Source organism: Homo sapiens, chromosome 9 (assembly GCF_000001405.40).
Source record: "Homo sapiens chromosome 9, GRCh38.p14 Primary Assembly".
In the NCBI taxonomy this organism is placed as follows: Eukaryota; Metazoa; Chordata; class Mammalia; order Primates; family Hominidae; genus Homo; species Homo sapiens.
The window spans coordinates 34,828,512-34,851,320 of record NC_000009.12 but is presented as its reverse complement, the minus strand read 5'-3'; the positions used below and the strand labels follow the sequence as shown (position 1 = coordinate 34,851,320).

Sequence of the window (22,809 nt, the reverse complement as noted above, 5' to 3'; positions counted from 1 at the left end):
GGGGAGGGGAGCCCGCCATTGCCCAGGCTTGCTTAGGTAAACAAAGCAGCCGGGAAGCTTGAACTGGGTGGAGCCCACCACAGCTCAAGGAAGCCTGCATGCCTCTGCAGGCACCACCTCTGGGGGCAGGGCACAGACAAACAAAAAGACAGCAGTAACCTCTGCAGACTTAAATGTCCTTGTCTGACAGCTTTGAAGAGAGCAGTGGTTCTCCTAGCATGCAGCTGGAGATCTGAGAACGGGCAGACTGCCTCCTCAAGTGGGTCCCTGACCCCTGACCCCCGAGCAGCCTAACTGGGAGGCACCCCCCAGTAGGGGCAGACTGACACCTCACATGGCCGGGTACTCCTCTGAGACAAAACTTCCAGAGGAACGATCAGACAGCAGCATTCGCGGTTCACAAAAATCCGCTGTTCTGCAGCCACTGCTGCTGGTACCCAGGCAAACAGGGTCTGGAGTGGACCTCTAGCAAACTCCAACAGACCTGCAGCTGAGGGTACTGTCTGTTAGAAGGAAACTAACAAACAGAAAGGACATCCACACCAAAAACCCATCTGTCCATCACCATCATCAAAGACCAAAAGTAGATAAAACCACAAAGATGGGGAAAAATCGGAGCAGAAAAACTGGAAACTCTAAAAAGCAGAGCACCTCTCCTCCAAAGGAATGCAGCTCCTCACCAGCAATGGAATAAAGCTGGATGGAGAATGACTTCGACGAGTTGAGAGAAGAAGGCTTCAGATGATCAAACTACTCTGAGCTACAGGAGGAAATTCAAAACAAAGACAAAGAAGTTGAAAACTTTGAAAAAAATTTAGACAAATGTATAACTAGAATAACCAATACAGAGAAGTGCTTAAAGGAGCTGATGGAGCTGAAAGCCAAGGCTCGAGAACTACGTGAAGAATGCAGAAGCCTCAGAAGCCGATGAGACCAACTGGAAGAAAGGGTATCAGTGATGGAAGATGAAATGAATGAAATGAAGCGAGAAGGGAAGTTTAGAGAAAAAAGAATAAAAAGAAATGAACAAAGCCTCCAAGAAATATGGGACTATGTGAAAAGACCAAATCTACGTCTGATTGGTGTACCTGAAAGTGACAGGGAGAATGGAACCAAGTTGGAAAACACTCTGCAGGATATTATCCAGGAGAACTTCCCCAATCTAGCAAGGCAGGCCAACATTCAGATTCAGGAAATACAGAGAACGCGATAAAGATACTCCTCGAGAAGAGCAACTCCAAGACATATAATTGTCAGATTCACCAAAGTTGAAATGAAGGAAAAAATGTTAAGGGCAGCCAGAGACAAAGGTCGGGTTACCCACAAAGGGAAGCCCATCAGACTAACAGCGGATCTCTCAGCAGAAACTCTACAAGCCAGAAGAGAGTGGGGGCCAATATTCAACATTCTTAAAGACAAGAATTTTCAACCCAGAATTTCATATCCAGCCAAACTAAGCTTCATAAGTGAAGGAGAAATAAAATACTTTACAGACAAGCAAATGCTGAGAGATTTTGTCACCACCAGGCATGCCCTAAAAGAGCTCCTGAAGGAAGCACTAAACATGGAAAGGAACAACCGGAACCAGCCACTGCAAAATCATGCCAAATTGTAAAGACCATCGAGGCTAGGAAGAAACTGCATCAACTAACGAGCAAAATAACCAGCTAATATCATAATGACAGGATCAAATTCACACATAACAATATTAACTTTAAAGGTAAATGGACTAAATGCTCCAATTAAAAGACACAGACTGGCAAATTGGATAAAGAATCAAGACCCATCAGTGTGCTGTATTCAGGAAACCCATCTCACGTGCAGAGACACACATAGGCTCAAAATAAAAGGATGGAGGAAGATCTACCAAGCAGATGGAAAACAAAAAAAGGCAGGGGTTGCAATCCTAGTCTCTGATAAAACAGACTTTAAACCAACAAAGATCAAAAGAGACAAAGAAGGCCATTACATAATGGGAAAGGGATCAATTCAACAAGAAGAGCTAACTATCCTAAATATATAGGCACCCAATACAGGAGCACCCAGATTCATAAAGCAAGTCCTGAGTGACCTACAAAGAGACTTAGACTCCCACACAATAATAATGGGAGACTTTAACACCCCACTGTCAACATTAGACAGATCAACGAGACAGAAAGTTAACAAGGATACCCAGGAATTGAACTCAGCTCTGCACCAAGCGGACCTAATAGACATCTACAGAATTCTCCACACCAAATCAACAGAATATACAATTTTTTCAGCATCACACTGCACCTATTCCAAAATTGACCACATAGTTGGAAGTAAAGCTCTCCTCAGCACATGTAAAAGAACAGAAATTATAACAAACTGTCTCTCAGACCACAGTGCAATCAAACTAGAACTCACAATTAAGAAACTCACTCAAAACCGCTCAACTACATGGAAACTGAACAACCTGCTCCTGAACGACTACTGGGTACATAATGAAATGAAGGCAGAAATAAAAATGTTCTTTGAAACCAACGAGAACAAAGACATAACATACCAGAATCTCTGGGACACATTCAAAGCAGTGTGTAGAGGGAAATTTATAGCACTAAATGCCCATAAGAGAAAGCAGGAAAGATCCAAAATGGACACCCTAATATCACAATTACAAGAACTAGAAAAGCAAGAGCAAACACATTCAAAAGCTAGCAGAAGGCAAGAAATAACTAAAATCAGAGCAGAACTGAAGGAAATAGAGACACAAAAAACCCTTCAAAAAATTAATGAATCCAGGAGGTGGTTTTTTGAACGGATCAACAAAATTGATAGATCGCTAGCAAAACTAATAAAGAAGAAAAGAGAGAAGAATCAAATAGACGCAATAAAAAATGATAAAGGGGATATCACCACCAATCCCACAGAAATACAAACTACCATCAGAGAACACTACAAACACCTCTACACAAATAAACTAGAAAATCTAGAAGAAATGGATAAATTCCTCGACACATACACCCTCCCAAGACTAAACCAGGAAGAAGTTGACTCTCTGAATAGACCAATAACAGGCTCTGAAATTGTGGCAATAATCAACAGCTTACCAACCCAAAAGAGTCCAGGACCAGATGGATTCACAGCCGAATTCTACCAGAGGTACAAGGAGGAACTGGTACCATTCCTTCTGAAACTATTCCAATCAATAGAAAAAGAGGGAATCCTCCCTAACTCATTTTATGAGGCCAGCATCATCCTGATACCAAAGCCGGGCAGAGACACAACCAAAAAAGAGAATTTTAGATCAATATCCTTGATGAACATTGATGCAAAAATCCTCAATAAAATACTGGCAAACCGAATCCAGCAGCACATCAAAAAGCTTATCCACCATGATCAAGTGGGCTTCATCACTGGGATGCAAGAGTGGTTCAATATACCCAAATCAATAAATGTAATCCAGCATATAAACAGAACCAAAGACAAAACCACATGATTATCTCAATAGATGCAGAAAAGGTCTTTGACAAAATTCAACAACGCTTCATGCTAAAAACTCTCAATAAATTAGGTATTGATGGGACTTATCTCAAAATAATAAGAGCTATCTATGACAAACCCACAGCCAATATCACACTGAATGGGCAAAAACTGGAAGCATTCCCTTTGAAAACTGGCACAAGACAGGGATGCCCTCTCTCACCACTCCTATTCAACATAGTGTTGGAAGTTCTGGCCAGGGCAATTAGGCAGGAGAAGGAAATAAAGGGTATTCAATTAGGAAAAGAGGAAGTCCAATTGTCCCTGTTTGCAGATGACATGATTGTATATCTAGAAAACCCCATTGTCTCAGCCCAAAATCTCCTTAAGCTGATAAGCAACTTCAGCAAAGTCTCAGGATACAAAATCAATGTACAAAAATCACAAGCATTCTTATACACCAATAACAGACAAACAGAGAGCCAAATCATGAGTGAACTCCTGTTCACAACTGCTTCAAAGAGAATAAAATACCTAGGAATCCAACTTACAAGGGATGTGAAGGACCTCTTCAAGGAGAACTACAAACCACTGCTCAACGAAATAAAAGAGGATACAAACAAATGGAAGAACATTCCATGTTCATGGGTAGGAAGAATCAATATCATGAAAATGGCCATACTGCCCAAGGTAATTCATAGATTCAATGCCATCCCCATCAAGCTACCAATGACTTTCTTCACAGAACTGGAAAAAACTACTTTAAAGTTCATATGGAACCAAAAAAGAGCCCACATCACCAAGTCAATCCTAAGCCAAAAGAACAAAGCTGGAGGCATCACGCTACCTGACTTCAAACTATACTACAAGGCTACAGTAGGCAAAACAGCATGGTACTAGTACCAAAACAGAGATATAGATCAATGGAACAGAACAGAGCCCTCAGAAATAATGCCGCATATCTACAACTATCTGATCTTTGACAAACCTGAGAAAAACAAGCAATGGGGAAAGGATTCCCTATTTAATAAGTGGTGCTGGGAAAACTGGCTAGCCATATGTAGAAAGCTGAAACTGGATCCCTTCCTTACACCTTATACAAAAATTAATTCAAGATGGATTAAAGATTTACATGTTAGACCTAAAACCATAAAAACCCTAGAAGAAAACCTGGGCATTACCATTCAGGACATAGGCATGGGCAAGGACTTCATGTCTAAAACATCAAAAGCAAAGGCAACAAAAGCCAAAATTGACAAATGGGATCTAATTAAACTAAAGAGCTTCTGCACAGCAAAAGAAACTACCATCAGAGTGAACAGGCAACCTACAAAATGGGAGAAAATTTTTGCAACCTACTCATCTGACAAAGGGCTAATATCCAGCATCTACAATGAACTCAAACAAATTTACAAGAAAAAAACAAACAACCCCATCAAAAAGTGGGCAAAGGACATGAACAGACACTTCTCAAAAGAAGACATTTATGCAGCCAAAAAACACATGAAAAAATGCTCACCATCACTGGCCATCAGAGAAATGCAAATCAAAACCACAATGAGATACCATCTCACACCAGTTAGAATGGCAATCATTAAAAAGTCGGGAAAAACAGGTGCTGGAGAGGATGTGGAGAAATAGGAACACTTTTACACTGTTTGTGGGATTGTAAACTAGTTCAACCATTGTGGAAGTCAGTGTGGCGATTCCTCAGGGATCTAGAACTGGAAATACCATTTGACCCAGCCATCCCATTACTGGGTATATACCCAAATGACTATAAATCATGCTGCTATAAAGACACATGCACACGTATGTTTATTGCAGCACTATTCACAATAGCAAAGACTTGGAACCAACCCATATGTCCAACAATGATAGACTGGATTAAGAAAATGTGGCACATATACACCATGGAATACTATGCACCCATAAAAAACGATGAGTTCATGTCCTTTGCAGGGACATGGATGAAACTGGAAATCATCATTCTCAGTAAACTATCGCAAGAACAAAAAACCAAACACCGCATATTCTCACTCATAGGTGGGAACTGAACAATGAGAACACATGGACACAGGAAGGGGAACATCACACTCTGGGGACTGTTGTGGGGTGGGGGGAGGGGGGAGGGATCGCTTTAGGAGATATACCTAATGCTAAATGAGGAGTTAATGGGTGCAGCACACCAGCATGGCACATGTATACATATGTAACTAACCTGCACATTGTGCACATGTACCCTAAAACTTAAAGTATAATAATAAGAAAATAAAATAAAATTTAAAAAAAAGTTAACTTGTTATCAGCTAAAGTAACCTGTTGTAATCATAACATATTCTTGTAAGCCTCATGTTAACCACAAAGCAAAAAAACTAGACTAGATACACAAAAGATAAAGAGTAAGAATTAAAGCATACCACTAGAGAAAATCATCTAACCTCAACAGACGACAACAAGAGAGGGAAAAAGGAATAAAGGGTCTATAAAACAACTAGTAAACAATTAGCAAAATGGTAGTAGTAAGTCCTTACCTATCAATAATTACCTTGAATGTAAATGGATTAAATTCTCCAATGAAAAGACATAAAGTGGCAGAGTGGAGTAAAAAAACAAGACCCAACTGTATGCTGCCTGCAAGAGAATCACTTTTCCTTTACAGATACATAGAAATTGAAAGTGAAAGGATGGAAAAAGAGATTTCATACAAATGAGAACAAAAAGAGAGGAAGGGTAGCTATACTCAGATAAAATAGACTTTAAGTCAAGAACTGTAAAATAAGACAAAGAAGGTCATTATATAATGATGGAGAGGTCAATTCATCAAGAGGATATAATCATTGTAAATATAGCATATATGCACCCAATATTGGAGCACCTAAATATATAAAGCAAATATCAATAGGTCTAAAGGGAAAAATAAGACTAGTAAAATAACAGTAGGGGACTTCATACCCCACTTTCAGCAGTTGGGAAGATCATCCAGACAGAAAATCAATAAGGAAACATTGGACTTAAACTATGCTTTGGACCAAATGGACCTAACAGACATTTACAGAACATTTCATTCAACAGCAGCTGAACGCACATTTCTCTCAAGCACACGTGGAACATTATTCAATATAGATAATATGTTAGGCCACAAATAACAAATTTAAGAAGAGTGAAATAACACATTTAAGAAGAGTGAAATAACAAATTTAAGAAGACTGAAATAATGTCAAGTATCTTTTCCAACCTCAATGGTATAAAACTAGAACTTGTTAACAGGAAGAATTTGGGAAAAATTCACAAATACCTGGAAATTAAACAACATGCTCCTGAATAACCAATGGATCAAATAAATCACAAGGGAAATTAGAAAATATCTTGAGGCAAATGAAAGAGGAAACACAATATCAAAACTTATGAAATGCAGGAAAAACAATTCTGAGAGGGAAGTTTATAGCAATAAATGCCTACATCAAAAAAGAAGAAAGATCTCAAGCAACCTAATGTTACACCTCAAGGAACTAGAAAAAGAAGAACAAACTAAGCCCAAAGTTAGTGAAAGGAAAGAAATAATAAAGATTAGAGGTTAAATAAATAAAATAGACACTAGAAAAACAACAAAAAATATGAACAAAAGGAAGAGTTGGTTATTTGAAAAGAAACAAAATTGACAAATCTTTAGTTACATTAAGAAAAAAAGAGAGAAGACTCAAATAAATAAACTCAGAATGAAAGCGGAAACATTACAATTGATACCACAGAAATACAAATGATCATAAGAGCCTACCAGGAACAATTATTCACAAACAAATTAAATAACCTAGAAGAAATGGATAAAGTCCTAGAACATACAATCTACCAAGAAGGAATCATGAAGAAATAGAAAATCTGAACAGATCAACAATAAATATGGAGATTGAAACAGTAATAAAAAGTCTCCCAACAAAAAGAAAAGTACAGGACCTGATAGCTTCACTACTGAATTCTACCAAATATTTAAGAACGGATACTGGTCTGACATGGTGGTTCACACCTGTAATCCCAACATTTTCAGAGGCTGAGGCAGGAGGATTGTTTGAGGCCAAGAGTTAAAGACCAGCCTGGGCAATGTAGTGAGATACTGTCTCTAAAAAAATAAAAATTAAAAAATTAAATAAAAAAAATTAGCCAAGCATGGTGAAATAATAAATGTATGTTATTTTGAATCACTAAATTTTGTGGTAATTTGTTATGCAGCAATAGACAAATAAAACAACATTCAACCCAATCCCAATTAAAATCCCACTACAGAAATTGAAAAACGTATTCTAAAATTAATGACCTATAATAGCCAAAATAGCTCTGAAAAAGATTACTTATTCCACCTGACTTCAAGACTTAGTATAAAACTACAGTAATCAAGATAATGTCACTGACATTAACAAAGACAAATAGATCAATGGAACAGAATAGCATTCAGAACTAGGCCTATACATATATGGTCACTTGATATTTTTTTAACTTGTTACAATTTTTATTTTTGTGAGATACACACTTTCCAAAAGATTTGCATTGTTCATACAGTAGTATTTTATAAGCCACATTAATAATGTTTTCATGCAACAAACCATAAGGTTCAAAGTTGTTTGGCAATCTAATATTTTTACATTAATATTTTAGAGCTCATAATGTGGTGCCAGACTCCTAAAAGCCATCAGAAAATTAGTCTCATTCTTTTGGAATCAGTTTACTAATAAGGATGAAAACAATCCAACATTTATGGATTTCTAGACAAGTAATGTGTCCTTTACCACTTTTTGGTAATTGCTTTTCAATTGGTTTCTAAAAATTAACACAATAGGAAAAATGTTTGTACAAAGCTTCACCATAAAAATGGATGACACAGAGTGCATGAAAAAATGCTCAACATCATTATTAATTAGAGAAACACGGATTAAAACCCCAAAGTGATACCATTACACATATATTAGAATGGCTAAAATTAAAAAGGATTGTACCAAGGGTTGACAAAGATACAGGAAAACAAACTCTCATACACTGCTGGCAGGAATGGAAATAGTACAACCATCTTGGAAAACAGTTTGGAAATTAAAAAAAATTAAACACACACAGTTTTAATCATTCATGCTGCTATAACAAATACCACAGATTGGGCAACTTATAAAGAACAGAAATTTATCTCTCACAGTTCTTGAGGCTGGATGTACAAGATCGAGGTGCTGGCAGGTCCTGTGTCTGATGAGGGCCCAGTCTCTGCTTCCAAGATGGAACCTGGTTGCTGCATCCTCCAGAGGGGACAAATGCTGTGTCTTCATATGGTGGGAGGGGCAAACAGCTCCTTCACATCTTATTTATAAAGTCATTAATCCCATTCATGAGGGCAGAGGTTTTATGCCCTAATCACCTCCCCAAAAGCTCCAACTTCTAATACCATCACCTTGGTAATTAGGTTTCAATCTATGAAATTTGGAGGGACACACACATTCAAACCCTAGCATACAACTATCATATGATTCAGTCATTCTACTCCTGGGTATTTACCCAAGAAAAATGGGAATACATGTCCTTATAAAGACTGGTACATGAATGTTCATAGCAGCATTATTTCTAGTAGCCCCAAACTGGTAATAACTCAAATGTCTATCAACTACCGAATGGTTAAACAAATTGTTATATATGCATACAATGGAATCTACTCTGCAATAAAAAGGAATGAACTAATAATATACAAAACAACATGAATATATTCAAATAATTGGGCTGAGTGCAAGAAGCCAGACATAAATGTATACATACTGCATGATTACGTTTATATAAAACTCTAGAAAAATGCAAACTAAACTACAGTGATGGAAAATAGATCAATGGTTTGGAAGAGAGAGGAAATGAAAGGGGTAGGGAAAAACAATTACAAAGCGGTATAAATAAAGTTTTGAGGATGTGTTAATCTTGACTGTGATAATGGTTTCACAAGTATATACAAATGTGAAAATTTATCAAATTGTTCACTCTTTGTTTGTTTTTTGAGACGGAGTCTCACTCTTGTTGCCCAGGTTGGAGAGCAGTGGTGCAATCTCGGCTCACTGCAACCTCCGCCAACTGGTTCAAGCGATTTTCCTGCCTCAGCCTCTGGAGTAGCTGGGATTACAGGCGGCTGCCACCACTCCTGGCTAATTTTTGTATTTTTAGTAGAGACAGGGTTTCACCATGTTTGACAGGCTAGTCTTAAACCCCTGACTTCAGGTAATCTGCCTGCCTCGGCCTCCCAAAGTGCTGGGATTATAGGTGTGAGCCACTGTGCCCAGCCTAAATTGTTCACTTTAAATATGTGTAGCTTATTGTACATTAATCATACCTCAGAAAAGTGTTTTTAATTACTAAACTCTAGACAAATGAAAAATTTAAGCAACAAAAATGAAACTGTGGTATATACTCAAAAGGACTGAAAACAAGGATTTGAACAGATACTTGTAAACCAACATTCACTTGAACATTATTCACGACAGCAAAAAGGTGGAAACAACTGACGTATTCAATATGGAAAAGAGGCACTCTTAAAACATTTTTTAGAAGTGTGAATTTCTGGCTGGGCGCGGTGGCTCACGCCTGCAATCCCAGCACTTTGGGAGGCCGAGACGGGAGGATCACAAGGTCAGGAGATCGAGACCATCCTGGCTAACACGGTGAAATCCCGTCTCTACTAAAAATACAAAAAATTAGCCGGGTGTGGTGGCGGGCGCCTGTAGTCCCAGCTACTCAGGAGGCTGAGGCAGGAGAATGGCATGAACCCGGGAGGCGGAGCTTGCAGTGAGCCGAGATCGCGCCACTGCACTCCAGCCTGGGGGACAGAGCGAGACTCTGTCTCAAAAAATAAAAAATAAAATAAAAAAAAGAAGTGTGAATTTCTACAATTGGAGGGCAATTAGGCAATATAAACATTGAAAATGCACACACCCTTTGACCCAGCAATTTCACTAGAAGGAATTTTTCCTACATATATACTTATATATTTATGCAAAGATTTATATTATATAAGGTTTGCATCAGCATTTTTAGAGCAAAATTATACGAACTATTCAAGAATATGGCATGGAAGATGAACTGTGTTTCAGCCATATCAAGGAAAATATTAAAGACATTAAAGAAAATGATATGCTCAAGATATATTTATTTTATTAAATGAAATAAGACTGTAATCCTAGCATCTGGGGGGGCTCAGGTGGGACTTGGGAGGCTGAGGCAAGAGGAACCCTTGAACCCAGGAGTTAGAGGCTGCAGTGAGCTATGATTGTGTCACTGCACTCCAGCCTGGGTGACCTTGTCAGAAGAAGAAGAAGAAGAAGGAAGGAGAAGAGGAGGAAGAGGAGGAGGAAGGAAGGAAGGGAGGGAGGGGAAGAAGAAGGAGGAGGAGGAGAAGAAGAAGAACAAGGAGGAGGAGAAGGAGAAGAAGAAGGAGGAGGAGGAGAAGGAGGGAAATTAGAGAGAAAAGTATCTATACTATCTATACTATCTTTCCCTTTGTGAATAAAACATTGAAATTCATTTTTTAAATTTATGCTAGACTAGTCTGGAAAGATACACAAGAACCTGATAGAAGTGATTGACTGAGGGAATAAAAATGAGAGATGAGAGACAAGGATGAGGAGACAGTATGTTATATCTTCTTCTACCTTTTGAAGTTTATACCATTTATATGTATGCTTACTTTAAAAAATCAATTAATCTAAGTGATTAAAATAAAATAAATGCAAAGGCCCTCCATCAAGGAGGGCCTCACCCCTGCTCCTCCAATCTTTCCCACAATTGCTCTCCAATCCATTCATCTGCACCTCTGCTAAAGATAGACTGCATTTTTTAGTATCAAATGAACTCTGTGGCACATTCCTTGGGGTTCTGCGTTTGTTAGGAATTTTCTCTGCCACCTGGAACAGTCCTTTTCCCTATAACCTGCACTTTTAGACAAAACTCCAAAATTAATCTCCCCAGGAACCCTCTCTGACCAAACTGATCCCCTCCATGCATTCTCTCTCTTGAAAAGTTGAGACCTGAACCTCAGTAATACATCAAATTATTTGAAATAAGCCATTGGCTCTTGATTCACGTAAATTTGTCTTGTCTTCGAAACTAGATTTTTAAGTGTCTTGAGAGGAGGAAGCCAACATGACTCAAAGTCCTTGTACCCTTGACATCACCCAGCTTAGGGATGAGCATACTGAATATACTTACCATGCCAGTGAGGTAAAGGATGGGATGCTGGATGAATGTTCAAAGATTTCGAGCCCAAGAATTTTTTTCTCCGCTTTTGGCTATAACCATTCTCACCAGGGCAACACCTTCTAAGAATATTCAGAAATCATTGGCTGTTAGGGAAGTATTGCAATATTCATGGAGGTTAAGCAGGTAACATAAATGTATAAATTAATCGGCAGAGTATAGGAGTGATGAGTCCTGAGGCAAAAGTGGAAAACAGCTGCTCTGCTTTAAAAGTTTCCAGAATCCGACTCAAGCAAACAAATAAAAATCCTACAGGCAAACAGAATACATCCAGAGATGAATAGATCCAACCACAAGCAGCAACCAGTTTGCGACCCAAAGCCAGAAATGGCTACTAATCCATCTCTACAGGCATTCATCTCCCTGAACAGGCAGAATGCTATAAGAAGGACAGAGGCAGCTCTAGAAAACCATGATTTGGACAGTATTCCAGAAGTGAGCCACATTAATGTGCCTCAAAAAGATTGCAGCATTTACAATCTCTCCCCACCCATCTGCAAGCTTGAGGCCACACAGACTGGATAGATACGGCCACCTTGGCCTCTCCCTATCACCCTACCACATCAGCCATAATCCCCTTCCCGCACCTCTGTTACCAATCACCCATTGCCTGAAACATCAAAGATCTCCATCTCCAAGCCATAACCAGACTCTGCCCTCCCTAAATTCTTGTGTGCTTCTCAGGTATATTTCCAAAACTAGTGGGAGAGTTAGTGGAGGTTCCTCCGGCCTAACCACCCCTTCTCATAAGGTGCCCCTGTGCCAAAGCACTCAGTTTTCTGAGGACAGGTGACCATACAGTTGTGAAGGACAGAGCCGAGACATCAGGCTGGTATAGGGAGTGGAAAGTGAAGACAGACTAGGAAATAGACACTGCTTGTGGCACCTTCAGTCCCAGGCTCAAAACACCCTCATCTACAGACTGAATCACCACATGAGCTTCCCTACTACATGTACCTTATGAAACAGGAGGGCTTTGTGATGCAGTCTGGTGGCCTAGTTCCGTCCTCTGTGAGGTGGATATGACAAGGCCTAGCACTGGGAGTCATTAGGCACCAGAACCCTGAATGCCGAGATAGAGGGATGGCTGATCTCATGCTAATGAGGTTTAGACCATGTTGAGCCCTACTTTTGTTCTGTGGGATGTTGGATATCCCTTATACACCTATGGCTCCATCTTCATCGTTATTGTAATTATCTGGCAAGTGAAAAGGAGCCACCATGAATTGAACTTGGAAGTTGAAAGGAGCTGCTGCTGGGTAGGGCAACACTATGATTCCAACTGAACTAATTAAGCCTCAGATAATATGCTTTTAAGCTCCAGAGTCCTTCCTTATTGACCCCACTTCCCCTCTCCCCCAATTTTTATGCCATACCTTTAGTTACTTTTATATAGTCTTTTCCTTCTCAGAGCCTAAAAGTAATTCCTTACCAGGTCTTCCCTGAACCATACTCTAATTGAAAAGCCAAGAAGCTTTCCATTTGACTTGAATAGAGACCTAGATGATATGGGATCTATCTCACTGGATCTCAAAAGACCTCACAATATGGGGGATTTTTTTGGTTGGTGGCCCTTTAAGGTGTTTATAAACTGAAGTCTTTAGGTATTAGAACCACATACTCTTTGATCTGTACTATCCTTTCTCTTGCTTCATCCTCAGCATCCAGCAGGACTTATCTGGGAATCAGATGGAAGGTATAGAATTTGGAAAAGGCTCCAAGTGAATCCGAAATAAGCAGAGAAGGAAAATGGAGTAAAAAGGTGGAATAGGCAAAGAAAATCCAGGAAAGCGTATAAAATACAGATAGATATATAGAAAGGGAGTGGAAAATAAATGTAAGTCTCATTTTGGACATGAGAAAGAAAATGGTGTCCCAGCTTCACATTCTAATGTTTTTGTCTTTTAAGCGTCACCAAAAAGTCAGGCAAAGAGCTAGAGATGCAGCATCAACAGGTGAAGTCCCAATCTCTCCTCTGACTCCCTTCCACTGTGGGTGTTTCCTATGAATCCTGTCCCTCTATGACCCCTGGAGCCAAGAGCCAGGTGCTCTGCCACTGAAGACTCCAGTTCCCCAGACTGAAACTTCCATGGGTGGGAAATCTTACCTTGGAAACGTTCCAAAATTCTCTACATTATTCCCATGGGAATAAAGAATTGAGGAAATAGTGCAGATGTCCTTAGCTGTGTCATTTGCTAGTTTTAAAACCTGTGGAAGTCACTTCATCTCTCAGTCTTGTTTGCCATAACATGGGCATCTGATGATCCTCTCACTCACAGTATGGTTGTTAAAGTCAAATAAGAATGGGCACAGAAGAACAAGTCATGATTCATTACACTGTGCACAGAAAGGCCTTAAAGCATTTATAATTAGGGTTCTCAGTGTCTTCTTGCTGAGAGTCAAAGGCCTCCAACCTCCTCCAGATACTCTGAAAACTCTACCATGCCACTGTCTACTATAACACTGTCTTCTGGTTCCTCAGCTAGGAGACTTTCTCAGGAAGAAGATCAGAAGCCACAAGAGCTGTTCTCTGTCATGAAAAGGTGATCTATTGCTGTTTGCAGTCTCTAAACACCAGCCTGGCCTGTGGTGATTTTTTCATTTAGCCTGGGGCAGGACTGAGGAGATGGAAAATGGCTGGGAGGGAGACATACACAGTGGAGGCTGGTTCACTAGTTGAGAGGGTTGCAAAGGCATAATTATCTCAGGAGGAAAGAGTCACCCAATACTGATTTGGGGCAGGGTCACAGTAGTTCTGAAATTCAGGATTTTACTAGTACATTATTCATAAAAGACATTATATGGGGTTCTACTCAGCTCTGAGATATGTTATCCAGTCAAGAGAATGGATTTTGCATGAGAAAGTCACCCATGTCACATTCTCTTTACAGCTACATCCTTACATGGGCAGACTGAGCTGACCAAGATGAACCCTGCTGATAATACTTCCTTTAGTTCTGTATTCAAGGAGTCCAGTTCCTGGCACAGCCCTAAGACAGGAGCCTATCATCTTATCCTCTTAAGATTTCTAGAGAAAAAGATTGATTCCCAGGAGATGTTGGGTACATCATCAGGGATATCTCATAGCCCCCAGAATGCATAAGTACCACATAAACCTCATTTTCCACAGTTTGGATGTACTGAAAACTAGACTTCGGGTTTCTTAGCCTCAAATGAGACTGCAAGACAGTTCTACCTTGTGATATTCCTGGTTATGCCCCATCAGCTAACCAACTGACTCTTCCACATGCTTGGTTCCTTTCTCCTAGTTCAGCTTCTCAACAAGGCCAACACAGAACTCAGCTCCCAGTCTTCTCTGAGGGCCATGCCCTTCTGTGGGTTGTCTGAGGCCTTGTCCAACAAGTCCTAACCCCCAGCCCACCATACCTTACCAAATGCCATTTTCTTAAGAAGAAAAGTAGAGGAGTAGACATGAAGGGGGTGTAGGCTTCTAGACTTGCAGGACTAGGGAAGGGCAATGCCAACGCTAGCCCACACTCTTCCAAGAAGGTAGATGCTACTCCATCATTAATGTTTGCCATGTTTCTCTTTCCAGCCAGGGCTGGCTTCCCCCAGAGGGAAGTGTGCGGCGAATCCTATGTACAGATCCCTGTTGCCAAATTTGCAATGCTATGGCTCTGGAGATTCAGCAGTTGCTGGCGGATGAGAATGACTAGATCTCCCCAACTTTGTCGAGGAGTCCATCACAGGTCTCCTCTTGCCTAGAGATCTTGTCTCTGTCTAGTGTATCCTTTGAGCAGAGTATAGAGCTCCATTCCAGAAATATCAGAGAGCTTTCACTGGCATCTATAAACCCAACACTGTCACAATTAACAGATCAGAAATCTTTAACCCAGTCAGCTGCCCAGTCAACGTATGCAGATGGCATACAAGATTACTGGGCTGATCACCTCCAGCTAGGGCCGGAATTTCAAGTGCCAGCTGTGCTCCGGGGCCCAAACACCATAGCTTCTTCAAGGCTTGACAAGCCAAGGGCTCCACTGAACCAGGAGGAGATGAGCAGAGCAACCCCAGCCTTGTCCAGGGAAACCAAGGCCAGCATCACTTGAATTTCCAGGTCTCCTTGCTGTCCCTGAACCCAGAAACCCTGAACCGGATGCATCCGATGGCCTTGCATATGGTCCTCCCTGCCCACCTGCCATTTCTCAGTCCTGAAGTGCTGAGGCTTCTTGAGGTACATGTTAAAAAATGGATGCATTTCCAGAGGTGGGGGCTCCCAAGACGTGTGGAGGAGTCCCTGAGGCAGCTTATGCCAAACCCACCATTGTATTACCAACCTGGAAATGACCAGCCAGTTTCTTTCAACCTGAATAATACTTCTCAGGTCTCTCTTCACAGATCTGAGACCATTTCCCTCCAGACCTGGTGTTCATGTGTGGCTGGCCAGCCCATCCAGACCTTCTGGGTTTCTGAATGGTCCACAATGAACCCAGAACAAAGACACCACTGTCAGCAAACTCCAAACCCTATGGCTCTAGCCTTGCCCTCTCCAGCCCTTAAAGCCCTAAGTGGCCCCCATCCACAGTCTGGGGGACAAGATAATGACTCAGGGAGTGATCTCCAGCAGAAATACAGCCAGCTATTCTGTGGGCTCCCTTCTCTGCACAGTGAGTCCCTGGTTGCCACTTTCATGGGATCTCAAGGCCTTCCCAAGATTGAAAATGTGCCCAAGCCCCCCTTGAAGGATCCTTTTCTCTTCAATGATCTCTCCTTCCCCCAACTGCTCCCTAAAACTTCACCCCAGTCAGCCCCACCCTCTTCCCCACTTTCGCCAAATTGGGTGTCTCCATCTGACCATCAACGAGCTCAGATCAATGTCCCATTTCTGACTCTGGCTGAGTATGAAGCCTTGGAGTGGCACCTGCTACAGAGGCAACTCCAGCTTCAGTGGGGCTGGCCAGCTGCCCTCCAGAGGTCTCAGCACACCCAGTGCCTCATGCAGCATGAGCCCTGTGGCAAAGCTCAGTCTCCTGAGACCACGACAGCTTCCCAGACAGGGAAGTCCATCTCAGTGCTCACCAGGGAACTACTCTTCTTCCCGGAGCATGCCCGGAAGCTGCTGGAATTCCACATCCAGAAACAGTCGATTCGCCATCGCTGGGGCCTGCCTCAGAAGATCCAGCAGTCCATCCAGTTGCTCCTTACCTCCACTGACCAGCAGACTGTGTCCAGCAGCAGCACAGCCCTAGCCAACGTGAGCATCCCCCAGCCTGTAGCCCTAGAGGCCAACGGGGCTTGCGATGTGCTGTCACCCATTGCGGCCCCAGTGTCCATCCCCAGGCCACACTTGTTAACTCAGGTCAAGGCAATACTGCAGAGCCACATCGACTCCAAATGTGGACAAATCCACCAGGGCAAGATCCCCGCCTGTGTACACAGGTCCTGGGACTGCAGAATTTCTGGGGTCCTGGCAGTGGCTCCTTTTCCCTGCATTCCAGAAAGCCAGTTCCTGGTACTGCAGACAGCAAGTGACCCAGACCTACATCACAAAGTTATGCCCTGGATGCCAACGGCCCTTGATCAGCAGCAACAGGCCTTACCAGGTACTGTCACTGAACACCCTAAGCTGCTCCGAGTCTTGTCTGTGGAAGCCATTGAGAAACTGGAGACAACTTTACGGCACAAGCATCTGGCCTTCCTGTCGGGGCTGCCTGCTCTGTATTATGTGGCGCTCCCCAGGGCCCTGGCCCCGGCAGTCACTAGCCAATCTGTCATCACAGAGATGGAGCCTAGTCCCGTGGAAATCCCAGCAGAGCCTCTGATTTAGATGGTTTCATTTGAAGAACAGTGTATAAGTCTTGGGCCATGCCCTCAAGGCAACAATGAGAGTTGTACAGACGTTGCAAAAGAGTTCCAGCCTGCAGTGCCAGTAAAAGGAACAATGGAGACGCTGCCTCTAGAAAGCCAGACGCATCCTACTAGCCCCCACTCACTCCAGACACATATCTTGACCAAACTAAACTTCCACCTGAGAAAAAAGGTCCTAGAGATACAATGGGGAATTCCCATTAGGGCAAGGAAGTCCAGGGAACAAACTGCTGCAGCACCAGAGAACATATCCACACAGAAGTCTCTTGAAAGTCTAAACCACCAAGGGGAGACATTGCTCCAGGAACTGCCCATCCCACCAGACACTCTTCCTGCCCCTAATCCAGAAGGGGTTCACCTTAAAGAACAGCTGGCCAATGACTTGAAGGCAGTGCAGCAGAACCAAAAGCAATCCAATTCCAAAGCAGTACCCCAGGGTTCTGCCCACTCGGTCTCCAAGATCTCACAACCCAGTGGGGACATGACAGAGGCCCACATGCCTTGTGTTCAGGTAGAGGCCAGTGTGAACAACCCCAGCCTGGAGGAACCCTGTGGCCCTGAGCCTCAAAGCCCTAGCAAGAGCAAGGACCCAGCCCATGTCCCCATGCTAGCAGGAAACAGAGAGGACCCAGAGGAAACCAAAGCAGCCAGGGACTACAGAGAAGGGGATGCGGGGTTTGGGCGCTCCTCAACCAGAGAAGAGAGACGCCCTGCTGAAGACCAGAGGCCAGCAGGGATGCTTCCAAACAAGACACCCCGAGGGTCCTGGCGATGGAGCCGTAGCTTTCATCTTGCTGATCCCTGTCAACACAGCCCCCAGCATCACCCTCAGTTTAAGCTCCCACAGCTACCTCCACGAGTCCCTGGGGAGAAAGAGTCTGAGAAGGACCTGCAAGACAGTCAAACCAAGCTAACTGTCATCCTTGAACCAGCAACAATTCCTGAGAATACCCAGACTGTGGTGCCCCAGCTTCACAGGGTCAGCCTTTCCTGAGCCAACCAACTCAGGCTAAGCCTTTGCAGGGCCAAACTTTGCAATGCCAAGTTTTACATGGGCTGGTGATGCCAGCCCATACTCAAAAGAAGCCCAGCCTTACAGAGTCTAGCTTCAGAAATAAAATTAAATGTTTTCTGGAGTGTATTAACCCCAAGACAAAAGGCAAAGGGCACAAGGATTCCATGTTCTCTGCCACTGTGAAGGTGGCCAAAACCAGAAAAGAAAATGTTGCAAAGAGCCTGGCTCCAGCCAAGAGCCCTGTGGGGAGAAGTAAGACAGAGAAGCCGACAGGGTGCTCCAAGGCCCAATCTCATCGTGCTCAGAAGCTGATGGGCCCAGCTTTCTTGGATGGTCCCCAGTCCCTAGACAATAAGCTTCGGTTACACTCCAGACAACCTGGCTCTGCCTCAACCCCAGGCCACCCCCACCACTGTCCTCGTCACTGTCCTTGAGTGGCTTGTGCCCCCCAACCAGGGCACCCACCCTAGCTCCTAACCCTCAGTTCAGATAGAAACATTGGTCTGCTCAAGGAGAACACACAGAGCCATGAAAAAGAGTTTATAGGCTCCCCAACTGCTGCAGCCCTCCAGAGGACCAGTATTTTCATTTCCATAAATATGCTGGTGGGGCAGGGTGCCACTAGAAATGCACTCTATATGTTTCAGCAATACGTTGCCCATCTGCTCCTTATCTCCACTGTATTGTGTTAAGGGAAGGTGTGAGGGAGGCTAAAAAGACCTTCCTGTCTAGGGAAGGAGCTTTAACCCACAATTCAGATGGTTCATTTTAGAGGAGTGCCACAGTATTCCCTCCTTGAGGAGGTGCTTTTGTGTTTATCAAAACACAATATCTAATAAGACAGATGTCAGATCCAGATGATAGACTCTCCTCTGACTTCTCCCTGTTTATACTGGGAAGATCTTTCTAGAAAATCCATCTTGGAGCCTGCTGTAATCCTGCTGCCTGTTTACTGCCTCCACTGCCTCTCAGTTGCATGAAATGAAAGCCTCCTGGAATGAGATGACAGTAGAAAATGGAGAAGGGCCTGTCCCACAGGCCCAGGGATTGGTAGGGAGCAGGGTCACGTAGTTGGAGGTCAGAGTACCTGTGACAAAAGTTGATTCTCATGCCTGACCAGGACATGAGAATAGAGAAAAGACAGTTTGCTTGGTGCTAAAATGAGCCTAGAGCCAGGAGGCAAACCCAAGGCCCAAGTGCTTTGGGAGGGATCACTGAGCTTAGTTCTGCTTGCCCTTAGTGTGATGAAGGGCAGGGTGTTGAGCACTGAAGTTTCTGGGAAAGAACCACAAATATAAGAGGTTTTCTAAACATATGTGAGCCTGTCAAGTTACTGCCAGCAGCTTGTACCCAGGCCTACTGTTTCTATACCACCTGTGCCTGGAGCCCTTCTCCACCACTCTCCTTGCCATGATCCTTACTCCTTAAATTTATCTTCACAGTAACTAATGGTGGGCACCCAGTCAGCTGAATCCCCTCCCAGGATCTACCTGGTGCCTTTTCCTCAGGGGATGACTCCTACACTTTTTCCTGCCAAGGACGGCACCACAGAAGCCTGGCAGCTCCAGCCCTTGGTTCCTGTCACCCTTCTACATCTCTTCATTGTGTCCCACTGCATTTCTGAAAACACTGAAGCCAATCACCTTGGCTGTCAAAAGAAGACAAGGCTTTTGGAAAGTGTCCTATTAACACAGAAAGTGACCACAAATCTACAATTTAATGCCACACATGAGTCTAACAATGAGATCAGCTGCTCATAACTGAGGTGGTGGGACTCTGGCCCTTTTGCCTCTCTCTGGGAATGTCCAATATTTTGCTATTCAGGGAAATACATAGTTATTATTAATTGAAATACTATGTGGAATTCTCTGAAACCTTTGGAATGAAATGAAGTCCAAGAGGGAGGCTGAGTGGCAAGCTGAGATCTACAAGGAGCTGCTAAGAAATGTAAGCCCCTCTCAGTGATATCCTATTCACATTCTCCCTCACACACAGATTAAACAAAGTCCCTCCTACAGACCTGCTTTGGGAGGTCTCTCAGTGTAGCTTGCCATACCAAGATGTTCCTAGAGTTCTTTCCTGCTACCTTTTCGGTCGAGCCTCCCACCCCAATCCCAGCACCATCACTGGGTGAGTGATCCACCACCAAAGGCAGCTTTGGTAATCCTAGCCACACATCAAGCCTCTTAATAATGGCCATCATACTCATATTCCTTCGAACCTCTAAGGAGACCTAAGGGGACCTTGTCCTTCCTTCTCCAGTTACTTGGGTTAAGGCAGGCACTAGTCTCCCTGGAACGCCTGACCTCTTAAGGAGCCATGGCAGAACAGCATAGCTCAAGGTTGTGCTTGCTCCACTCAATAGGTTAAATATGAGTAAAAGATTTGGGTCACCCCCTTCCCTCTGGAAATTTCTGGCTGAAGTGACCAAAGAATGATTTTAAGGCAAAATGATAAACATGAACAAAGGGCAATAAAACAGCACAAAGAAAATATTACAAAATTCTTGAGCAAGTGTTTTTGTAACTTTTAGGACAAATGCCTGACCCTGTGGGGAGAATGCAGATTTTAAAGTCAAAGTCACAAGAATGGAATGTGGGGAAAAATGAAGTTTAGAATTCTAGCTCAGAGATTTGACAAGTTACTTAACATTTCTGAGCCCCAGTTTCTAGATCTGGCAAAATGGGATAATTGTACATACATACCCCAAACCTCAATTACTGTTAATGTACTGATGATTCTCAAAGCCACATTTCTGACCCAGTCTTTCCACTGAGCTCCAAACTGTATATTCAACAACTGACACAAAACTCTATCTTGTTACAGAGACAATGCAAATTAATTCAAAACCTCCACCTCACCAACCTGATTTCCAAAGTCAGGGAACGTTATCACTATACATTCACTTTTTTTCTCAGTTCATACATCAAGACAGTCACTGGGTTCTAATCTTGATGACTCTCAAGTTAGCCCCCTTTCCTCTATTTTTACTGACTCTCCTTGTAGTTCAGTTTCTCATCCTTAACTTGCCTGAATGGTTAAAATATGCCTCATAACCCCAGGGCCTAAGAAAGTAGCTAATGCATAGTAATACCTTATATTAGTTGAATCCAAAGTCTGCGCTGAGGAGGCAGAGAAAGCGTTACATCTTTGTGATGAGTGCTATAAGGTGTGAGGTTGTGCCACAGGAGGAAGTAATTAGCTGGTCAGGAGAATCCCAGAAGGGTCACAATAAAAATTACTTTGAAAAACATCTTACATTCAATAATTAAAATATTGGAATACTTACTATGTGCCAAGTACTATGCCAAACATAACAAACAAGACACAAGCCTTGCCCCAGGGGAGCTTGTCATCTCATGAGGTAGATAGTCTCATAGGTTCAAATTGCCTAATCAACATATATATTTGGATATCAAATATTCATCTCAACCTATACAAAAATGAACTCTCGATTCCCTGCCCACCCACCACCATCATCCATTTACACATACCAAATCTGCTCCAATCATGGTATTTCTCACATCAGTTAAAGGCAATTCCATCTTTCCAGTAATTCAGGGCAAAAACAATAGTGTCATTCTTGAATTTTTTTTCCTAACAGTCCACATCCGTTCCATCAGTAAATCCTGTTGTCTTTACTTCAAAAATCCATCCAGAATATGACCACTTCTCACTCTCTCTACTGCTACCATTACTGCAGTAGCATCATAACGTCCCCCATTTTATCCTGACACCATATCCCCAACAGTCTATCTTCAACACAGAAGCCTGATAGTCCTCAGGGAGGGTCCTGGTTGCAGATGACAGACAGACATAGATATAGATATAGATATAGATATAGATATAGATAAAACCATGCAACTGGATAACATCACCATGGAACTAAGTGTAAATGAAGAGATCTAAAGACTGGGCTAGGACACTCTAAAGTTAACTGGGAATAAAAGGAGGAGCCAGTAAATAGAGGAACAAAGAAGCAGTAGCCAGTGAGGTAGGAAGAAAAACAGAAGAGTGTGGTGTACTGAAAGCAAAGAGAGGAAAGTATTTCAAAGAGAAAATGATAAACTGCATAACCAGTTGCCAACTAGTCAAGCAAGATGAATGGCATTCAATTTAAAAACATAGAGATCCTCTGTGACATTAAGAAAAACAGATTTAGATGAGTGATGAAGGTGTGATGGGAGTGGATTCAAGATACAACAGAAGGAGAGCAATTGGTGATAGCAAGTATAATCACGTATTCAAGGAGG

At 42.5% G+C, this 22,809-nt stretch overlaps 1 protein-coding gene and 1 pseudogene across 7 annotated transcripts in view; one reads left to right on the top strand and one right to left on the bottom strand.

Annotated features, from left to right (window-relative positions):
* The window catches only part of PHF24 (PHD finger protein 24), a 316,938-nt gene that overhangs the window by 131,224 nt on the left and 162,905 nt on the right, over positions 1–22,809 (bottom strand). The window contains exons 1-2 of one of the 6 annotated variants that reach the window (XM_017014554.2): positions 12,599–12,985; positions 11,665–11,798 (exon numbers count right to left, since the gene is read on the bottom strand). The exons of 2 other annotated variants lie outside the window; for them this stretch is intronic. The gene's annotated coding sequence lies outside the window, so the exon portion shown is untranslated. 3 more of the 6 variants (XM_017014555.2, XM_017014553.3, XM_017014556.2) reach the window with 3 other exon arrangements.
* SPATA31F2P (SPATA31 subfamily F member 2, pseudogene) lies at positions 12,735–21,054 on the top strand (annotated as a pseudogene). Its single transcript, NR_024481.1, has 4 exons — positions 12,735–12,971; positions 13,622–13,667; positions 14,195–14,255; positions 15,269–21,054. The product of NR_024481.1 is annotated as an SPATA31 subfamily F member 2, pseudogene (transcript).